At 42.3% G+C, this 16,491-nt stretch overlaps 1 protein-coding gene across 2 annotated transcripts in view; it reads left to right on the top strand.

Annotated features, from left to right (window-relative positions):
- The window catches only part of PLB1 (phospholipase B1), a 148,083-nt gene continuing 135,925 nt past the window's right edge, over positions 4,334-16,491 (top strand). For both annotated transcript variants that reach the window (NM_001170585.2, NM_153021.5), the window contains exon 1: positions 4,334-4,443. In NM_001170585.2, the coding sequence (NP_001164056.1) occupies positions 4,389-4,443 (55 nt within the window). In that variant the 5' untranslated portion in view covers positions 4,334-4,388. The remainder of the gene's footprint in view (positions 4,444-16,491) is intronic.

Genomic DNA, 16,491 nt, shown 5'->3' on the forward strand with positions numbered 1-16,491 from the left:
ATTATAAGCAAAGCCTCTGCCCAAGGAAAGCTAAGTCAGCCCAGTTACTTGCATTAGACAGTGTTTTGCATGCATGTACCCAGGTCTTATTGGAAATACACAGGAGCCCTGGCATCTAGGTAATATGCCAGGTTTGGAGAGTCGTAATCCAAGGTTCCTTTTACTTCTGTGAGTGGTAGGGGTGATGGAGAACACAGGCCAGTTAAACCAATTGTTTCTTTGCTCCTGGAGAATACTCAGCCAGTGAACAAAGATTTGTGGGGGGCCTGGTATGTGTAGAACACTGGGCTAGGTGCTCCTGGGGGAAGAGTTTTGAGGGTGCTAAGATAGTAGGAAGAGAAAGGCCCAGCCCCTCTCTTGCTGGGAACATAGGACCATCTCCATGCAGAAGGCATGAACAATGCAAAGCCATCAGGGTGAGGTTCAGTAGGAACTTCAGAAAAGCTGAAACTTGAGGCAGGAAATCCCCAGGGAATTACTGCCATAATGCAGATTACCCTGAGATATATGGTACTCTGCTTCCACCCCTCCCACAGTTCTGGTGTGTACCCTCCCTCTTCCAGTGGTTTGTCTTCCTAAAACAGGCATCAAGGGGTCCTTGTCCAAGATGGCAGGCTGCTGGTGCACACTTCCCATCACATTGGCAGAGCTCAGTCAGGTGCCAGGGACTAAATTTTCCTCGTTGAAAGAAGAGGACAAGTTGATTTACTCTCTGTTTACAGTCATTAAAAAGCTTGACCTGAAGCTGGGTGTGGTGGCATGCACCTATAATTCCAGCTGCTCAGGAAGCTGAGGCAGGAGGATTGCTTGAGGCCAGAAGTTTAAGGCTATAGTGTGCAATGATAATGCATGTGAATAACTACTGCAGTCCAGTCTGGGCAACAGAACAAGACCCTGTCTCTTAAAAAAAAAAAAAAGCTTGCTTCTTCCTAAGACTCAGGGCCCTTTGTAGACATTGCTTCTAGCTCCTAACACAAGGGAATTGGGTCTAGCTACATCTTTAACCAGAAGGAAAAGCAAACCTGTTTTATTTTTCTCAAAATCTAGGGATTTCTTTGTGGATCTATTACTCTCTAAAGTTGTGGTGGTTTTCAGTTTTTTTTTTTTCAGGGATGGTAGCACATGCCTTGCTCAGAGGTTTCTTGGCCACTGAAAGAAAAACATTAAGAAAAACATATTGCATCACTATAGGTAGCTGAAACAAAAGTTTTCCCGATACATTACTTACCCTTATTACATTGCTATGTCCTCAGATATTTTACATTCGATTTCATTTTTTAAAATGGGCTGATCATTAACCAAATCAGATTGATGGGATAATAATGGGTTGTAAACCCCCAGTTTGGAAAAATTCTCTTGGAAGGCCCACACTGCTTTAATCCACGTGGGCTCTGTGCCAGGAGCTTAGTCTAGCACCTCCTTGTGGATTCTTAGACAACAGCGAATGCTCACCTGTGTTTTTTTGTTTTGTTTTGTTTTGTTTTTTTGAAACGGAGTCTTGCTCTGTCGCCCAGGCTGGAGTACAGTGGCGCAATCTCGGCTCACTGCAAGCTCCATCTCCCAGGTTCACGCCATTCTCCTGCCTCAGCCTCCCAAGTAGCTCGGCCTACAGGCGCCCGCCACCACACCTGGCTAATTTTTAGTAGAGATGGGGTTTCACCATGTTAGCCAGGATGGTCTCAATCTCCTGACCTTGTGATCCAGCCGCGTTGGCCTCCCAAAGTGCTGTGATTACAGGCGTGAGCCACCGTGCCCAGCCTGAATGCTTAGCCTTCTCAGTGGCCAAGAAACCTCTGAGCAAGGCATGTGCTACCATCCCTGAAAGATGCTAATTCAGGGGCCTGTGCCTTTCCCAAAAGGAGCACCTGGGTGATTATTGCTAAAATCTGAAATGGAGAATATTTCTCATCCCCTTTTATAGGACATGTCCTCTTAGGACATTTTCTAGCAAAAGTCAGAGAACAAAAGTTTATGGACAAGTGATGGAGCCTTTGACTTCAGACGACTTTCCCCTTGTTTTCATAGCTGCTACTAGACCACATAAATAGTAGGTGCCAGTTAAGCTGCGATGCTGTAAGGGTGCCAAGAGGCTGGGCGACGTGGCTCATGCCTGTAAACGCGGCACTTTGGGAGGCCAAGGTGGGAGGATTGATTGAGCCCAAGAGTTCAAGACCAGCCTGGGCAGTATAGTGAGACCTCATCTCTGTTTTTCAAAAAAATTTTTAAAAAGAGTGTCTAAGAAATGTTGCTTCCCCTACAGCCTCACAGTTGGTGAGGATTCCTTGATGCATGGATGGAACTCAGAGATTTATTCTACCTAAAAGGACATCCAGTCTATCCCATACCAAAATGCCTTCCCAACATTCAAATGTTTTTAAGGCATTTCTCAATTTTTCTAAATGTGAAAGGAGTTAGAGGAAGGATGGTAACCCAGTTGGGCTGTGGTAGTCCTGGAGAGAAGCAGTTAAGAGATGGAGCGAGTACCTGGAGCGTGGAACCAACTTACTTCTGCGCATGCCCCATGTCCTTTCCACCCCACCTCCAGCTGGCCTGCACATGAGTGGGGACCTTGGCCTATTCAGCCCAGGCAAGTTCAGTGATGCTCCTCAAAGCTGCTGGTGGCATGGAGCTGGGTAAACTCCTGACATCCTTAGTGGGACAGCAGCTCTGGCTTCTCATTGAACTTGGGGGCAGTTTGGTGAAGTTGACAAGTGTCTACATATCCAGGGGCATCTGTGCTCACTTGTCCCCCACAGACCTTGGCCTTGGGTGTATTTTCTTCTTCCTTTTCTGTGTGTCTGTGTGTGCTGCCCTCTTCTAGGCTCTGGAACTAGCTGATGGCCAGCTGGACTAAGTGTGTCAGTGTCCACACACCTCTGGCATGTCCCAATACCCCCCTACAGTCCTGAGGCTTAGGCTAAGCCTTTGGCATTGGCTAAATCAGTGGTGACCCACAAGTCACATATTTTCTGAGCAGTTGAGAAAGGGAGACAACATCCTAAAACCAGAGATTCAGGAACAAAGGGCCACTCACTTCGTCTTCACTTTCTACTCAAGACAATAGAGGTTATAACAGTAATTAAAAACAATTTTTTTTTAATTGAGATGGAATCTTGCTCTTGTCCAGGCTGGAGTGCAGTGGTGCAATCATAGCTCACTGCAACCTTGAACTCTTGGGCTCAAGCAATCCTCTTGCCTCAGCCTCCCAAGTACCTGGGACTACAGGTGCATGCCACCATGCCTGGCTAATTTATTTTTATTTTTTGTAGAGATGGAGTTGCCCAGGCTGGTTTTCAAACTCCTGGGTTCAAATAATCCTCCTTCTTTAGCCTTCCAAAGTGCTGGGATCACAGGTGTGAGCCACTGTGTCTGGCTGTGATTTTTAAATATGAGAAAAGTGGGTCAGCCAGGAGATCAGAATCTGAGGTTGGGTCATGGGAACCAGCCCTAGAGTCTTAGCTAGACCTCAGAAGTCAGGATCCCAGCCTCACACCCACAAGCATGGCCAGAAAGCAAGGATAATTTAAATATATTTGTTCCTATCAACCAAGGCAATTGTTTCTTGATATTTGTGTAAAAAATTTAAATTCTACTCTCAAGGGTATTTGTCACTCAGGCTTTAAATGCCAGCTTTGTCTGCCCAGTTTAGACCCAGCCTGCATTCCTGACTTAGTTTACCCAAAGGAAACGGCTGATTTTGTCAAACTTGGTTCCCCCTCTCTGGCTTGTATCTCTGAATTCAACATGCAGACAACAAATCTATGGTGTGCACATCCACCCAACACAACTGGCCACCCATGGGTTTGGAGATGGGGGGAACAGAACAAACCTCTCTGTGTCATGCAAACCAGGGAACCTAGCAGAGCTTCTGAGACACGGTGGGAACACGTTTCACATTTGGAGGTAGGTTTATGGTTTACATTTGTTACAAGGTACTTTTGATCTCCTGGCTTACAACTGAGAAAGCTGAGGCCACGTTAAGGGATACACCCAAGTTCCCACAGCTGTGGTTGATTTGGAATTCCGACCAGCACCTGGGATTCCCAGGCCCACGTTCTTCCCAGCAGACCCGAACACCGGCAATTTCTGGGCACCCACCATCATGGAAGGCTGTATGGAGGCAGCTATGCGGCCCTGGTCTGTCAGTGTCTATGACTAGAACATGCTACCCATCATTGACTCATCTGCCTTAAGAACTCTTCCGCCTAAGTGTTAATATTTATCATTTACAGCCCGCCACTACCCCCTTTCAAAGGTGAACACAGTAAAATTTATGACAGGTGCTCTATCAGAACACAGAGGAACATAAAAGCAGGAGGAGGTGTGATAGCCCATCCATCTGCTGGAGCAGCTCTTCCAGAGGCCCGAGTCACCTGGAGCATTCTGGCATGGGGCTGCGGCCAGGCATTTTCCTCCTGGAGCTGCTGCTGCTTCTGGGGCAAGGTAAGCGTGCCTTTTGCTCAGAGGACAACCAGTGGTTTAGCCCCGCTGGTGTCCCATGTTGCTTAGGCAATGGGTGTGTGAGAGGAGTGTGTGCTTTTGAAGAGATAAAGCACAAAGCGTACAGTTCAAGAATAAGAAGTCTGGTTTGCCTCCTGCGGAATGGGATGCAGAGGCTGCCTACACAGGGTTACATGTCCCAAAGGCTGCCGGGAGCGAGGCAGATCTTGGGACAGGAGAGAAGTGCAGTCCGGTAGCAGTACCATGGTACAAAAAAAACCCCTGGATTCTATTTGTTTGTGCTTTGTGGCTTTGGGCAAGTTCTTCCACCTCCCTGGACCTTGATTTTTTTCATCCTTAAAATGGAAATACTACTACTATGCACATTTTGATCATTACTATTACCATTTATGAGCTTTGTTTTGTTTTTGAAGGACAAAGGAAGACAGATTTCCAGATGATAAATTCTAAAAGATTGCCTACATTCTTTAGTGCTGCTAAACAGAGTGCTGAGCTTTCATTGAACTGAGTGGGCAACCAGCCAGGGCTTTCCATTCCCCCCAACATTAATGACTGTGGGTAGATTGTGCCTCTGCCACAATCCCTCTCTGCCCCTCTTCTTCCCATCATTGGCTCTCCCTTTGCTTAGGAAGGCAGAATCTTTTAAACTGAAAAGGGCCTTAAAGATCTTTCATCTTCTCCAGATGAGAGGACGGGGTCTGGAGTGAGAAGGCACTTGCCCTTGACTCCCCAGAGAGAGTGGAGGAGGCATGGGACAGAGTCCTGGGCCTGCCTAGGGTCTGAGCCCATGCTTGAGGCTTCTCTGGGGCAAGTCAGTTACCGCTCTGAGCCGTGGGGGAGAATGACGATGCTTGCTATGCCTTCTGCACAGGATGATTGTATTTCTTTGATTACTGATGAGGCCAAGGAGTGTTTTCATAGAGATTGTTTGAGTTTCTCTTTTGTGAAGTGCCTGTTGAAGTCTTTTTCCTATTGATTTTTTAGGAGTTCTCCATATATGCTGTGTACTAGCTCTTTGGAGGTTACATATATGACAAATATCTTGTTCCACTCTGAAGCTTGTCCTCCTATGGGGACTTTTGATGAGCAAAATTCTTAATTTTGTGTAAATAAATGTAGACTACCCAAATGAGGACAAACAGAGGCTACTTATTCAGAGCTCGCTGTAGCGAGACATCACTTATGTTTGGCCAAGATTCAAAGGCAGGCAGGGGAGTGGGAAAGTTTCACAGTGGAAAAAAGGGAAATCTTCAGATCTGCTCTGGTTGGAGGTTGTTGGTATCAGGGACCAGCTGACTAGAGGCACGGCATCTGAAGTTATCCAGTTGGGAGTGTATCTGGCTTTCTCTGAGGGGTCCTGAGTTGGAAGCAGAGCAAAAAATAGAGAAGATGGCAGTCATTAACCAAACCTGACCATTCTGGGCTGATTGCTGCAGAGGCTGCAGTTTGGTTCTCTGGCCTGGCCGATTGCAGACTGTGGCTCAGAGTTCTGTTATCATATGTGGTCCCACCGTTGTCCATTTGTATATTCTCTATTTTTTTTTTTTTTGAGACAGAGTCTGGCTGTGTCACCCAGGCTGGAGTGCAGTGGCTTGGTCTCAGCTTACCGCAACCTCTGCCCTCCAGGTTCAAGCAATTCCCCTGCCTCAGCCTCCTGAGTAGCTGGGATTACAGGTGCCTGCCGCCGTGCCTGGCTAATTTTTGTATTTTTAGTAGAGACAGGGTTTCACCATGTTGGCCAGGCTGGTCTCAAACTCCTAATCTTAAGTGATCTGCCTGCCTCGGCCTCCCAGAGAGCTGGGATTACAGGTGTGAGCCACCGTGCCCGGCCTTTATTCTTAAGTATATGTATTTTAAATCTTCCTTTATGGTTTGTGCTCTTTGTATCTTAAATAACTCCTCTCCTACCTCGAGGTCATGAAGATATCTTATATTTCCTTCTAAAAGCTTTATAAATTTACTTTTCTCGTTTAAGTCAATCACCCTACATCTGGGATTGACTTTTATGAATAGTATATGAGAGGAACCCAATGTTGTTATTATTATTTCTTTTTGAGATAGAGTCTCACTCTGTCACCTAGGCTGGAGGGCAGTGGTGCAATTATGGCTTATTGTAGCTTCAACCTCCCAGGCTCAAGTAATCCTCCCACCTCAGCCTCCCAAGTAGCTGGGACCACACACCCACTCAGGTTATATAATCAAAATATTGTGTTCAGGCACATGCCACCATGCCTGGCTAATTTTAGTATTTTTTGTAGAGAAGGAGTTTCACCATGTTGCCCAGGCTAGTCTCGAACTCCTGGGCTCAAGCAATCCTCCTGTCTTGGCCTTCTAAAGCACTGGGATTACAGGTATGAGCCACCACATCCAGCCCCTCATTTTTTTAAATGCAGATACCCAGTTGTCTCACTACCATTTATTGAAAAATCGGTTGTTTCCCTACCACTGTGAAGAGCTACCTCTGTTTGTACATTAAGGATTCATGCATGTTTCTATCTGTGTCAGTTCTCTTTTTTGCTCTATTAGTCCTTATCTATCTCAGGGCCAATAACCCATTATCTTAATTCTGTAGCTTTATATTAACTTCTGTTTTTGAGAAAAGAAGTCTTCCTATTTTTGATTCTTCTTCAGAAGTGCCTTGGCTTTGAATTTCCATGTAAATTGTACTATCAGCTTGGCAATTTCCACTGGAGAAAACCTGTTGGGATTTTGATAGAGATTGCTTTGAATTCTATGAATCAAGTTGGGGAAAATAGACATCTTTACAATATTGAGTCTTTCAAGTCCTGACCATGTATTTAGATCTTTAATGCCTCTCAAAGTTTTCTCTGTTGCAGGCATGGACATATTTTGTTAAATTTATTCCTAGGTTTAGATATTTTTGTTGTGTGGCAAGTGGGTTTTAAAATTTTTATTTTGAAATGTTTGTTATTGATATATAGAAATAAAGTGAATTTTGTGTTGATTTTGAACTCAACTAAACTTAAAAATTTTAATAATTTATATATTCTTTTGGGTTTTCTATTAGGTTGGTGCAAAAGTGATTGCTGTTTTTGCCATTACTTTTAATGCTGTTTAATGCTCCCACCAGAAGAGCTAATGCACATAGCGTTGTTCCAACTGACCTTTTAAAAAATAAAATAGAGAATCCAGGCTCAAGTCTGGATTAGTTCTCTATTGCTTTGTAACAAAGCAATGGCAAAATAGCACTCACTTTTGCACCAACCTAACACACATAATCCTGCCAATAATGACGGTGTTGTTACTTCCTCTTCAATCTGTGTGCCTTTATTTCTTTTTCTTATCTTACTGTGCCGGCTGGTGCCTGCACAACAGTTTTTTTTTTTTTTTTAAAGAGGTGATGATACCAAAGATGGTATTCTTATATTATTCCCAAGTTCAAAAGGAAAATGTTAAGCTGGACGTGGTGGCTCACACCTGTAATCCTAGCACTTTGGGAGGCCGAGGTGGGTGCATCACCTGAGGTCAGGAGTTTGAGACCAGCCTCACCAACATGGTGAAACCCTATCTCTACAAAAATACAAAAATTAGCCAGACGTGATGGCGGTTGCCTGTAATCCCAGCTGTTCGGGAGGTTGAGGCAGGAGAATTGCTTGAACCTGGGAGGTGGAGGTTGTAGTAAGCCGAGATTGCACCACCGTACTCCAGCCTGAGTGACAGAGCCAGACTCTGTCTCAAAAAAAAAGGAAAATGTTTAATTTCTCATCAGTAATTGTGCTGTTTGCTAATGGCTTTTTTTGTAGATAAGCTCTATGAGATTAAGAAACCTTTATTCCAAATTTGCTAAGAGATTTTTTAAAATGAGAAGTGGATGTTGAAATTCATCTAATGCTTTTTCCGTATTTATTGAGATGATTGTGTGACTTACTCCTTTTATCTGCTAATGTTGTGAATTAAATAAATTGACTTTTTATTATTTTGTTCATTTCTTCAGTCATTGCTTATTAGATTTATCAGAGACCACACGTTGCATTTATTTGCCTTGTCTCTTTAATCTCTTTTCATCAAGAATAGTTCTCTCGGCTTTTTGTTTGTTTCTTTTGTGTCAGTGAACATCTTCAGCTGGTTTTTGTGTATGAACAACAAACAGTGATGTTCATGAATCCCCTAGTTGGTGATGCCAAATTTGATAACTTGGTGAAGGTGTGGCTGCCTGACTTTTTTCCCTTGTGAAGGTACCTGCCCCATGTGGTTTATAAATTATCCATAGGGAGATACTGTGAGACTGTGTGATTACCCTTTTTCCCAGTGATTTTTAGCATCCATTGATACTTCTTGCCTAAATTTTTACCATGGTGATTGGAAGATGGTGATTTTTCTGTCATTCCTTCTTCCTTCTGCTATTGTCAGTTGGGTTTCCTCCATAAAAAAGAGATTCCCTTTTTTCCCCCACTTAAATAAATATTTAACTGAACTCCCCCCTCCTTTTTGTCTTATCTTTTTCATATGAAATTCATCTATGGGGGGCTAAGCAGGGAGGATAGCTTGAACCCAGGAGTTGGAGACCAGCTCGGGCAATATAGTGAGACCCCGTCTCCAAAAAAAAAGAAAAGAAAAGAAAAGAAATTCACTTATGGACTCTTATTAATCTGTGTGTTGTAATCCAGGCCTGTTATTTTTCATTTTGATGCCAAAGTTATTACAGATTTGGCCAGTGAGAGCCTCTTCAAGGTAACTTCTGTGGCCCTATCAATTTTTAAGCACTTTTAAACTTCATGGTACAAGATTTTCCCTGCTAACCTTGTATTTCCTCTATCCCAAACCTGGAATCAGCTGTTTCTTCAAGGCTTCCATTGGTAGGGGAGTGTTATTTAGAAACCAAGGTCCAGGTGCTAGGAATGTTTGTTGATGCTGAAGTGTTATTGTCTAGGCCCTTTCAGTGACAAAACTAAGAAATGTAGTTTTCTTTTTTAAAAACATCCAATAAATTTATAAAGTTATCTTTAATTTAGGTAGAATTACACTTTTTCATCTCCTTCTTTCATTCCATATTTGTATTGTCCTTCACCCACAGTGCAAATCTGGGTTACAGACACATCAATGAATTTACTCACTTACTGAATCCTACAATACATACAACACAGTACTGGAATTGCTATGACAACACCACCAACAACAAATGAAGTTCAAAATTCCTTTGCCATACTTCCGTCCTTTAGAATATATCCCACTCAGGGTGTATAATCAAAATATTGTGTTCAGAATCACTTGAATTTTTTTTTGTTCTTTCTGTGTAATTATATAACCTAGTGGCATACAGTTAAGTGTGTCTGTATTTAATTTTGTGTTTCTTCTGTTCTTGCTTTTTACTAAGTCTTTTCAATATATAAAACATTAACATTGTTCAAAAGTCGAAGCTATATGAAAAGATGTACTCAGAGAGGTCCCATCCCCTTCCCCTACCCTTTCTATCCCATTTCTGTCATTCCTGTAGGTAACCAATTTTATTAGTTTAATATCCTTTTTCTTTTTGAGAAAATATATTCTTATTTTCCTTTATTCTTGCACAAGATAACCTACTATACATGTTTTTTGCATTTTGATTTTTTTACTTAATTATATGTCCTGAAAATTATACTACATCAGTTCAGAGATCTTTATTTTTTTCCAACTGCAGAATATTCCAGTATGTACCATATATACCACCAGCCTCCCAACATGGCCATTAGGTTGTTTCCAATATTTTGCTATTACAAATACTACTGTCATGAACAGTCACATGCATGTATCTTTTTCAAGTTCAGCTTATGCTAGGCTATACATCTAACTTAGGATAAATTCCTGGAACTGGGATTTCTGGGTCAGAGGGTGAACACACATATAGATTTGTTAGGTATTACCAAATTTCCTTCCATAAGGATTGTACCAATTTGCATTCCTACCAGCAATATATATGAAATTGCTTATTTTTTCATAGCTTGACAATAAAGCTATATTGACAACAAAGCATGCAGTCAAGACTTAGAATTTTTGCAAATGTCATAGGTAAGAAACATTTTAGTTTATCTTATTACAATGTAATTTGATTATGTTTTCATATTTTTAAGGACCATGTGGTCTCAAGGTTACAAAAAGCAATGGGAAATGAATATTTTCCTATTCAGTTAGATGATAGCCTTTGGGAATCATACATACATACATAACATATGTATATGTGTGTGTTCATATTAAGGAAATAACCATAAATTTCTACATCCTTGAGTTTTAATTCATCAGAAATTCATATTAAATTTTGTTAAAGGCCTTTTCAGCATGTATAGAAATAATCATATGATTATTTACCCTTAGATCTATTATGTTGAGTTATATTAATAGACTTGCTAATACTGAATGATCCATTGGGATTGTATACCCATTGCTGGCGTAAAATCAAGTTGATCATGGTGTATCTCTTTCCTTATATTGCTAGGCTTAGTTTGCTAACAATTGTTTCAGGTTATTTTTCTTATATGCCCATGAATGAGAGTGAGTTATAAGTTTCTTTTTTCTCTCTGCCCTTGCTGGATTTGGGTACCAATGTTTTACAGTCTCATAAAATGAATTTGGGAGTGTTCCTATTTTTCTGTTTTCTGGAATAGTTTGTAATAATAATGGATTTTTTTTCCTTTTAATGTTTGGTAGAACTTGCCAATGAAGCCATCTGGGCCTGGAATATTATTTTTTGGTAGATTTCTGACTACTGGTTCAATTTCTTTAGCACTTATAGAATTAGTCATATTTTATTTTTCTTAAATCCACTTTGGAAAGTTTTTTTTTCTAGGAATGTGTCCATTTCGAGTAAATTTGCAAGTGGTTTGGCATAAAATTTGTGTATGGTTTTCTGTTATCCCTTCAATACCTGTAGCTTCTGTAGTCATGTCCTTTTTGTTTCTGGTACTGATTATTTATGATTTATCTTACCAGAGGTTTGTCTACTTTATTATTTTTTTCAAACCAATTTTTTATTTTTATTTTTTATTTTTTGAGAAAGGTCTAACTCTGCTGTCCAGGTTGGAGTGCAGTGGCCTGATCACAGCTCACTGCTGCCTCGACCTCTGGGCCTCAAGAGTTGCTCTCTCTCCAGGCTCCCAAGTAGCTGGGACCACAGGTGCATACTACCACACCTGTTAATTAAAAAAAAAAAATTTGTAGGGAGGGAGTCTCACTATCTTTCCCAGGCTGGTCTTGAACTCCTAGGCTCAAGCTATCATCCAACAGCCTCTCAAAGTGTTGGGATTACAGGCATGAGCCACCATATCTGGCTTTTATTGATCTTCTATGTCACCGTTCTCTATTGAGGCATAGCAAACTACCCCCAAATCTCAGTGACTTACAGTAGCAACCACTTCATTTACTCACAGTTCTGTGAACCTGCAGCTTGGGAAGACTTCAGCAGAAACATCTCATCCCTGTTCCACATAGTATCATCTGGGATTGACTTGGTGGGTCCCAAATGAGATGTCTGGGGACTTGGTACTGGGACCTGGGTGTCTTCGTGTTCCCCTCCTTGGCCTTTGTTTCTGTATGCGCAGTCTGGACTTCTTTACATGGGGACCCAAGGTCCCAAAAGAGCACAAATAGAAGCCACAAAGCCTTCTAATGTCCGGTCCCCAAAGTCATTTCTGCTGCTTCTATGAGTCAATGCAAGTTTCTGTAGTAGCCTGGATTCAAGGTGAAGGAAATAGACGTTGCCTCTTGATGGGAAGAATGGCAAAAGTCACACTGCAAAAGGGCATACAGGATGAGACGAAATGCTGTGGCCATCTTTGGAAAAATATACCATCGTCTATATTGTATGTTTGTTTTCCAGTTCATTCATTTATGTAAATTTATCTTGCTTGGCCTTTTTAGCACATCCTGAATCTGTGGCTTGATTACTTCCATCAGTTTTGAAAAATTCTCAACCAGTATCTCTTGAAATGTTGCCTCTACTTGATTATTTCTGCCTTTTCCTTCTGGAATGCCAGCACAACGTTTGGCCTGCTCACTCCATGTACCATGTCTCTTCACCTCTCTACCAACTTTACCATCTTCTTGTCTTTCTACACTGCATTCTAAGTAATTTATTATGATACATCTTCTAGCTTATTCAGTCTCCTTCAGTTGCGTCTAATTTTCTGTTAAACCTGATCGTTGAAGATTTTGAAAATTGGTGATTTTATTTTTCAAATTTAACTTACATTTGGTTTCTTACCAAATTGGTAATTAAATAACTTTGGATTCCCATAAAAACTTCAAGTTTGTCTTATTTTAAAAAACATAGTCATTGTAAGGGCCAGGCGCAGTGGCTCACGTCTGTTATCCCAGCACTTTGGGAGGCTGAGGCAGGCAGATCACTTGAGGTCAGGAGTTCGAGACCAGCCTGGCCAACATGGTGAAACCCCATCTCTACTGAAAATACAAAAATTAGCTGGGTATGGTGGTGTGTGCCTGTAGTCCCGATACTCAGGAGGTTGAGGCAGGAGAATTACTTGAACCTGGGAGGTGGAGGTTGCAGTGAGCCGAGATTGGGCCACTACATTCCAGCCTGGGCAACAGAGCGAGACTCAGTCTCAAAAAAACAAAACAACAACAACAACAACAAAAATTCATTTTGAAATTTTACAATTTTGATGATTTTAGTATCCAAAGTCTTTGTGATCTGTTTCTTTTGTTCTCCTGCTGATTCTTGCTTATATGTACCTAATTTCTTTATGTACTATACCTGGTTATCTTTTATTGCATGGTGCTCAGACTCCTTGAAAATGTACTTATGAGATTCTTTGAGGCCTAGGATGAAGGTGAATGTCTTCAGAGAAGATATAAGTGTTCATTCTATTGGGCACTGGGGATGTTATCACATTTGAGGATCACTTCAAACTAAATTCATGGTGTGAGGCTCCCTAGAAAAACCAGGCTCTATGATAAGCACAGTTCATGTATAACAGCCTTCCTTTAAGATGGTCTGTGCTATTTTTCCCATTTTACAGATGAGAAAACTGAGAAGCTAGGTAACTTATCCAAAATCATCCAGCTAATTAGTACAGGAAGCTGAGGTCAGTCCTGAGCTTGGATCCAGGGCCAGCACCTTTCGCTACCTTACAGTATAATAGAGCTCGAGAGAAGAACCAAAATTAGACTTTTATTTAAACTTTTAAATGGACTCAACAAGCAATACATATGAAAACAGATTCCTGCTTTGAATGTTTTGGCTTATAAAACTGAAATATCATTAACTCAACTGCAGTCGGCAAAAGCAAGTTGGCAAGAAATCATTGTATCTAATAAATTACCATTTCTGCTAGAATTTTATTTTCCTCGAATGGGTCAGAAGTTCCCAGAAGATTGTCATGCCTGTGGGAAAAACTTGTTGCCTTGGTAACGTACCCATGACAGGCCTGTCAATGCAAAACCAACGGTGGGAGCTGGGTGAACTCATTGAGTGAGAAAAGGATACCTTTTCATTACTAAAACAAGCTAGGTAACATTTGTTTTGCAAGAGCCCAGGGTTCTTCCTGAAGGTTGGCTTTCCTTCCCTTCCTGCAGGAAGTTTTCCCAAGCCTTCTAGAAATACAGTCTTTCTAAATAAGAGTAGAAAGGGATATTTGAGAACTTTTGGTGGCCTGAGTCCTTCAAATTATTGATGCAAGATCAGGGAGAACCTGCTTGGGTCACACACCTAGTTGGTGGCATAGCCATCCCCGAATCTCTGGTGTTAGACTCTACATCCCAATGCCTCCATCCCCATCCCCAACCCTCACTTCACCTCACACACTTGTCTCCAAATGTCTGCTTTGGACACTGAGCACAGGTATGGGGTTTTCTCTAGAGGCTCAGAAGTTCTACTTTCCTGGGATGTCATCTGTGCCTTGTAGATTTCTAGGACTTTATTGTCAATCATCATTTCCATCAAGTTGCATTTTTGTTACTGTCAGTTAACTGAGCACCCTTCTAAAAACCCAAGTTGGGCTGTGCCTGGCTGGTAGTTACTAAATCAAATGTTAAGGAACCCTCTGGGGAGAGAGAAAGGAGCCGCATAAAATCACTGGAGAAGAATTAAGCACCAAAATAGGTGCAAGCAGCTGTAATAAAAGCAACAGGATTCAGAGAGCTGAGAGATGAATGTGGGCTGGAGGAATCTCATGTGGGAGGTGAAACTCAATTGCTCACTGAAGGGTGAGTGGGACTGAGATAAACACCAAGGAGCAGAGAGGGCAGGCAAGGGGAGGGCATGGCAATGATGGGTTTGAGGAACAGGAGCAGGCTGGCTGAACTGGAGTGTGGGGTTGGTGTAGGGCAAAATGAGGGGTTAAGGTAGGACAATTAAACCCCGGTGCAAGGAGAGAGGAGATTTTTCAGAGTGCCTTTTAGCTTAAAGAGACTTCTAAAATGATTGAATCCAAATCTTTTATTTTACATTTACAAAAACTAAACTGGTGGAGTGACCGGCCTAAGGTCATGCAGCAAGCGTGGAATTTTAATTTGCTGTAGTGGGAAATGGGGAACTGTAGAAAGTTCTTTAGCAGGGGAGTGGCATGACGCAAGTGGTATTTTGGGCAAGATGAGTCCTCCAGCTCCAGACATAAAAGGTCATGAGTCAAAAGAGGCACCACCTTGGTGAACAGAGCCCTGGATCATAGGAAGGGGCCCAGCAGGGATTTGGCTGGGCTCTGGGAAGGGTAAGTGCTTTTCTTCAAGCCTTAGGCCACCATTTCCTTTTGCATTATTGCATCTCTGAGAATGAGGGGTCCTAAGCCTCCCTTCCTTCACACCACAACTTCCCAGTTGTCTCTGGGAGGAAACCTTCCTGACGGTCTCCCTTCCTGAGACTCCCTTCTTGTTGGGGCTTACTGATCAACACACCTGCCACCATCCAGCTTTGAGGAATCCCAGGTCCCGTTTAAAGTTCTGGCCAATGGTGGCTGAGGTGAAGCTAGAGCTGCTGCTGATTGTGGAAGATATTAGTATAGGAGGAGTCAGGGCTCTGGAACCTGCCATCGTCAAGGTCTGCTTGTTCGTCTTCACCATGGGACTGTCTTCTACAGGTTGCTCCTTCCTGGCTCTGGGTTGGCCTCAGCTGTCCCTGTCTTAGTCTGTAGTGTGCTGCTATAATACCACAGACTGGGTCATTTATAATGAACAGAAATTTTTAGTCTCATGGTTCTGGAGGCTGGGAAGTACAAGATTGAGGGGCTGGCATCTGGTGAGGGCCCTCTTGCTGTGCCATCCCATGACAGAAGGCAAAATGGCAAATGAGGGTACGACAGAGACAAAAGGGGCCAAACTCATCCTTTTATAACAAAACCACTCCCACAATAATGACATTAATCCATCTGTGAGGGCAGAACCTAGTCACCTGTTATAGGTCACACCTCCTACCACTGCTACATTGGGGATCAAGTTTCCAACATATGAATTTTGGGGGACACATCCAAACCACAGCAATCCCATGAGGAAGTTGAAGAAAATGTGATGCAAAAGTAAGGCATCCCCTTGTCTGAGGCCAAGGGCAAAACTACAAATAAACTTTGAATATGTAATTTCCTTTTGGGACTGCTTTCCTCCCTTGGGGCACAGGGTGTATGATATTGGATATCTGTGGGCATCAGAGGATGGAGACAGGAGGGTGCACTGGTCTCTGCCTGGAATGAGGTCTGTAATTGGTGGTGTGGTCTCTCTGGGACCATCAGTACAGGACAGAGTATTTAATTATGGTTTGAGACTTTTCAAGCCATCTCGAATGTTTTTTGTAATCAGACTAGAGGTTGTGTCTACCCAAAGGTTGTGACATTGTTGATCCTAAATCATTCTTTGGCCAGCATTCCTGATGGTAAATCTAGAGTGACTAATGGTAATAAGGACAGCTGGAAATACTGATCTACAGACAGGGCAAAACAATAGATTTCTTCTGGAAATTCGGGATAGAAGACAACACATGTAACAAGTCTTTCTATAACCTTCTTTCAAAGAGACTTTGGTCTCAGGGAAAGCGTACTTGACTAGGTTAAGGAGAATCCAGTTCTACACATGGCTCTGTTATACCTTGCTGAA

Source organism: Homo sapiens, chromosome 2 (assembly GCF_000001405.40).
Source record: "Homo sapiens chromosome 2, GRCh38.p14 Primary Assembly".
NCBI lineage: Eukaryota > Metazoa > Chordata > Mammalia > Primates > Hominidae > Homo > Homo sapiens.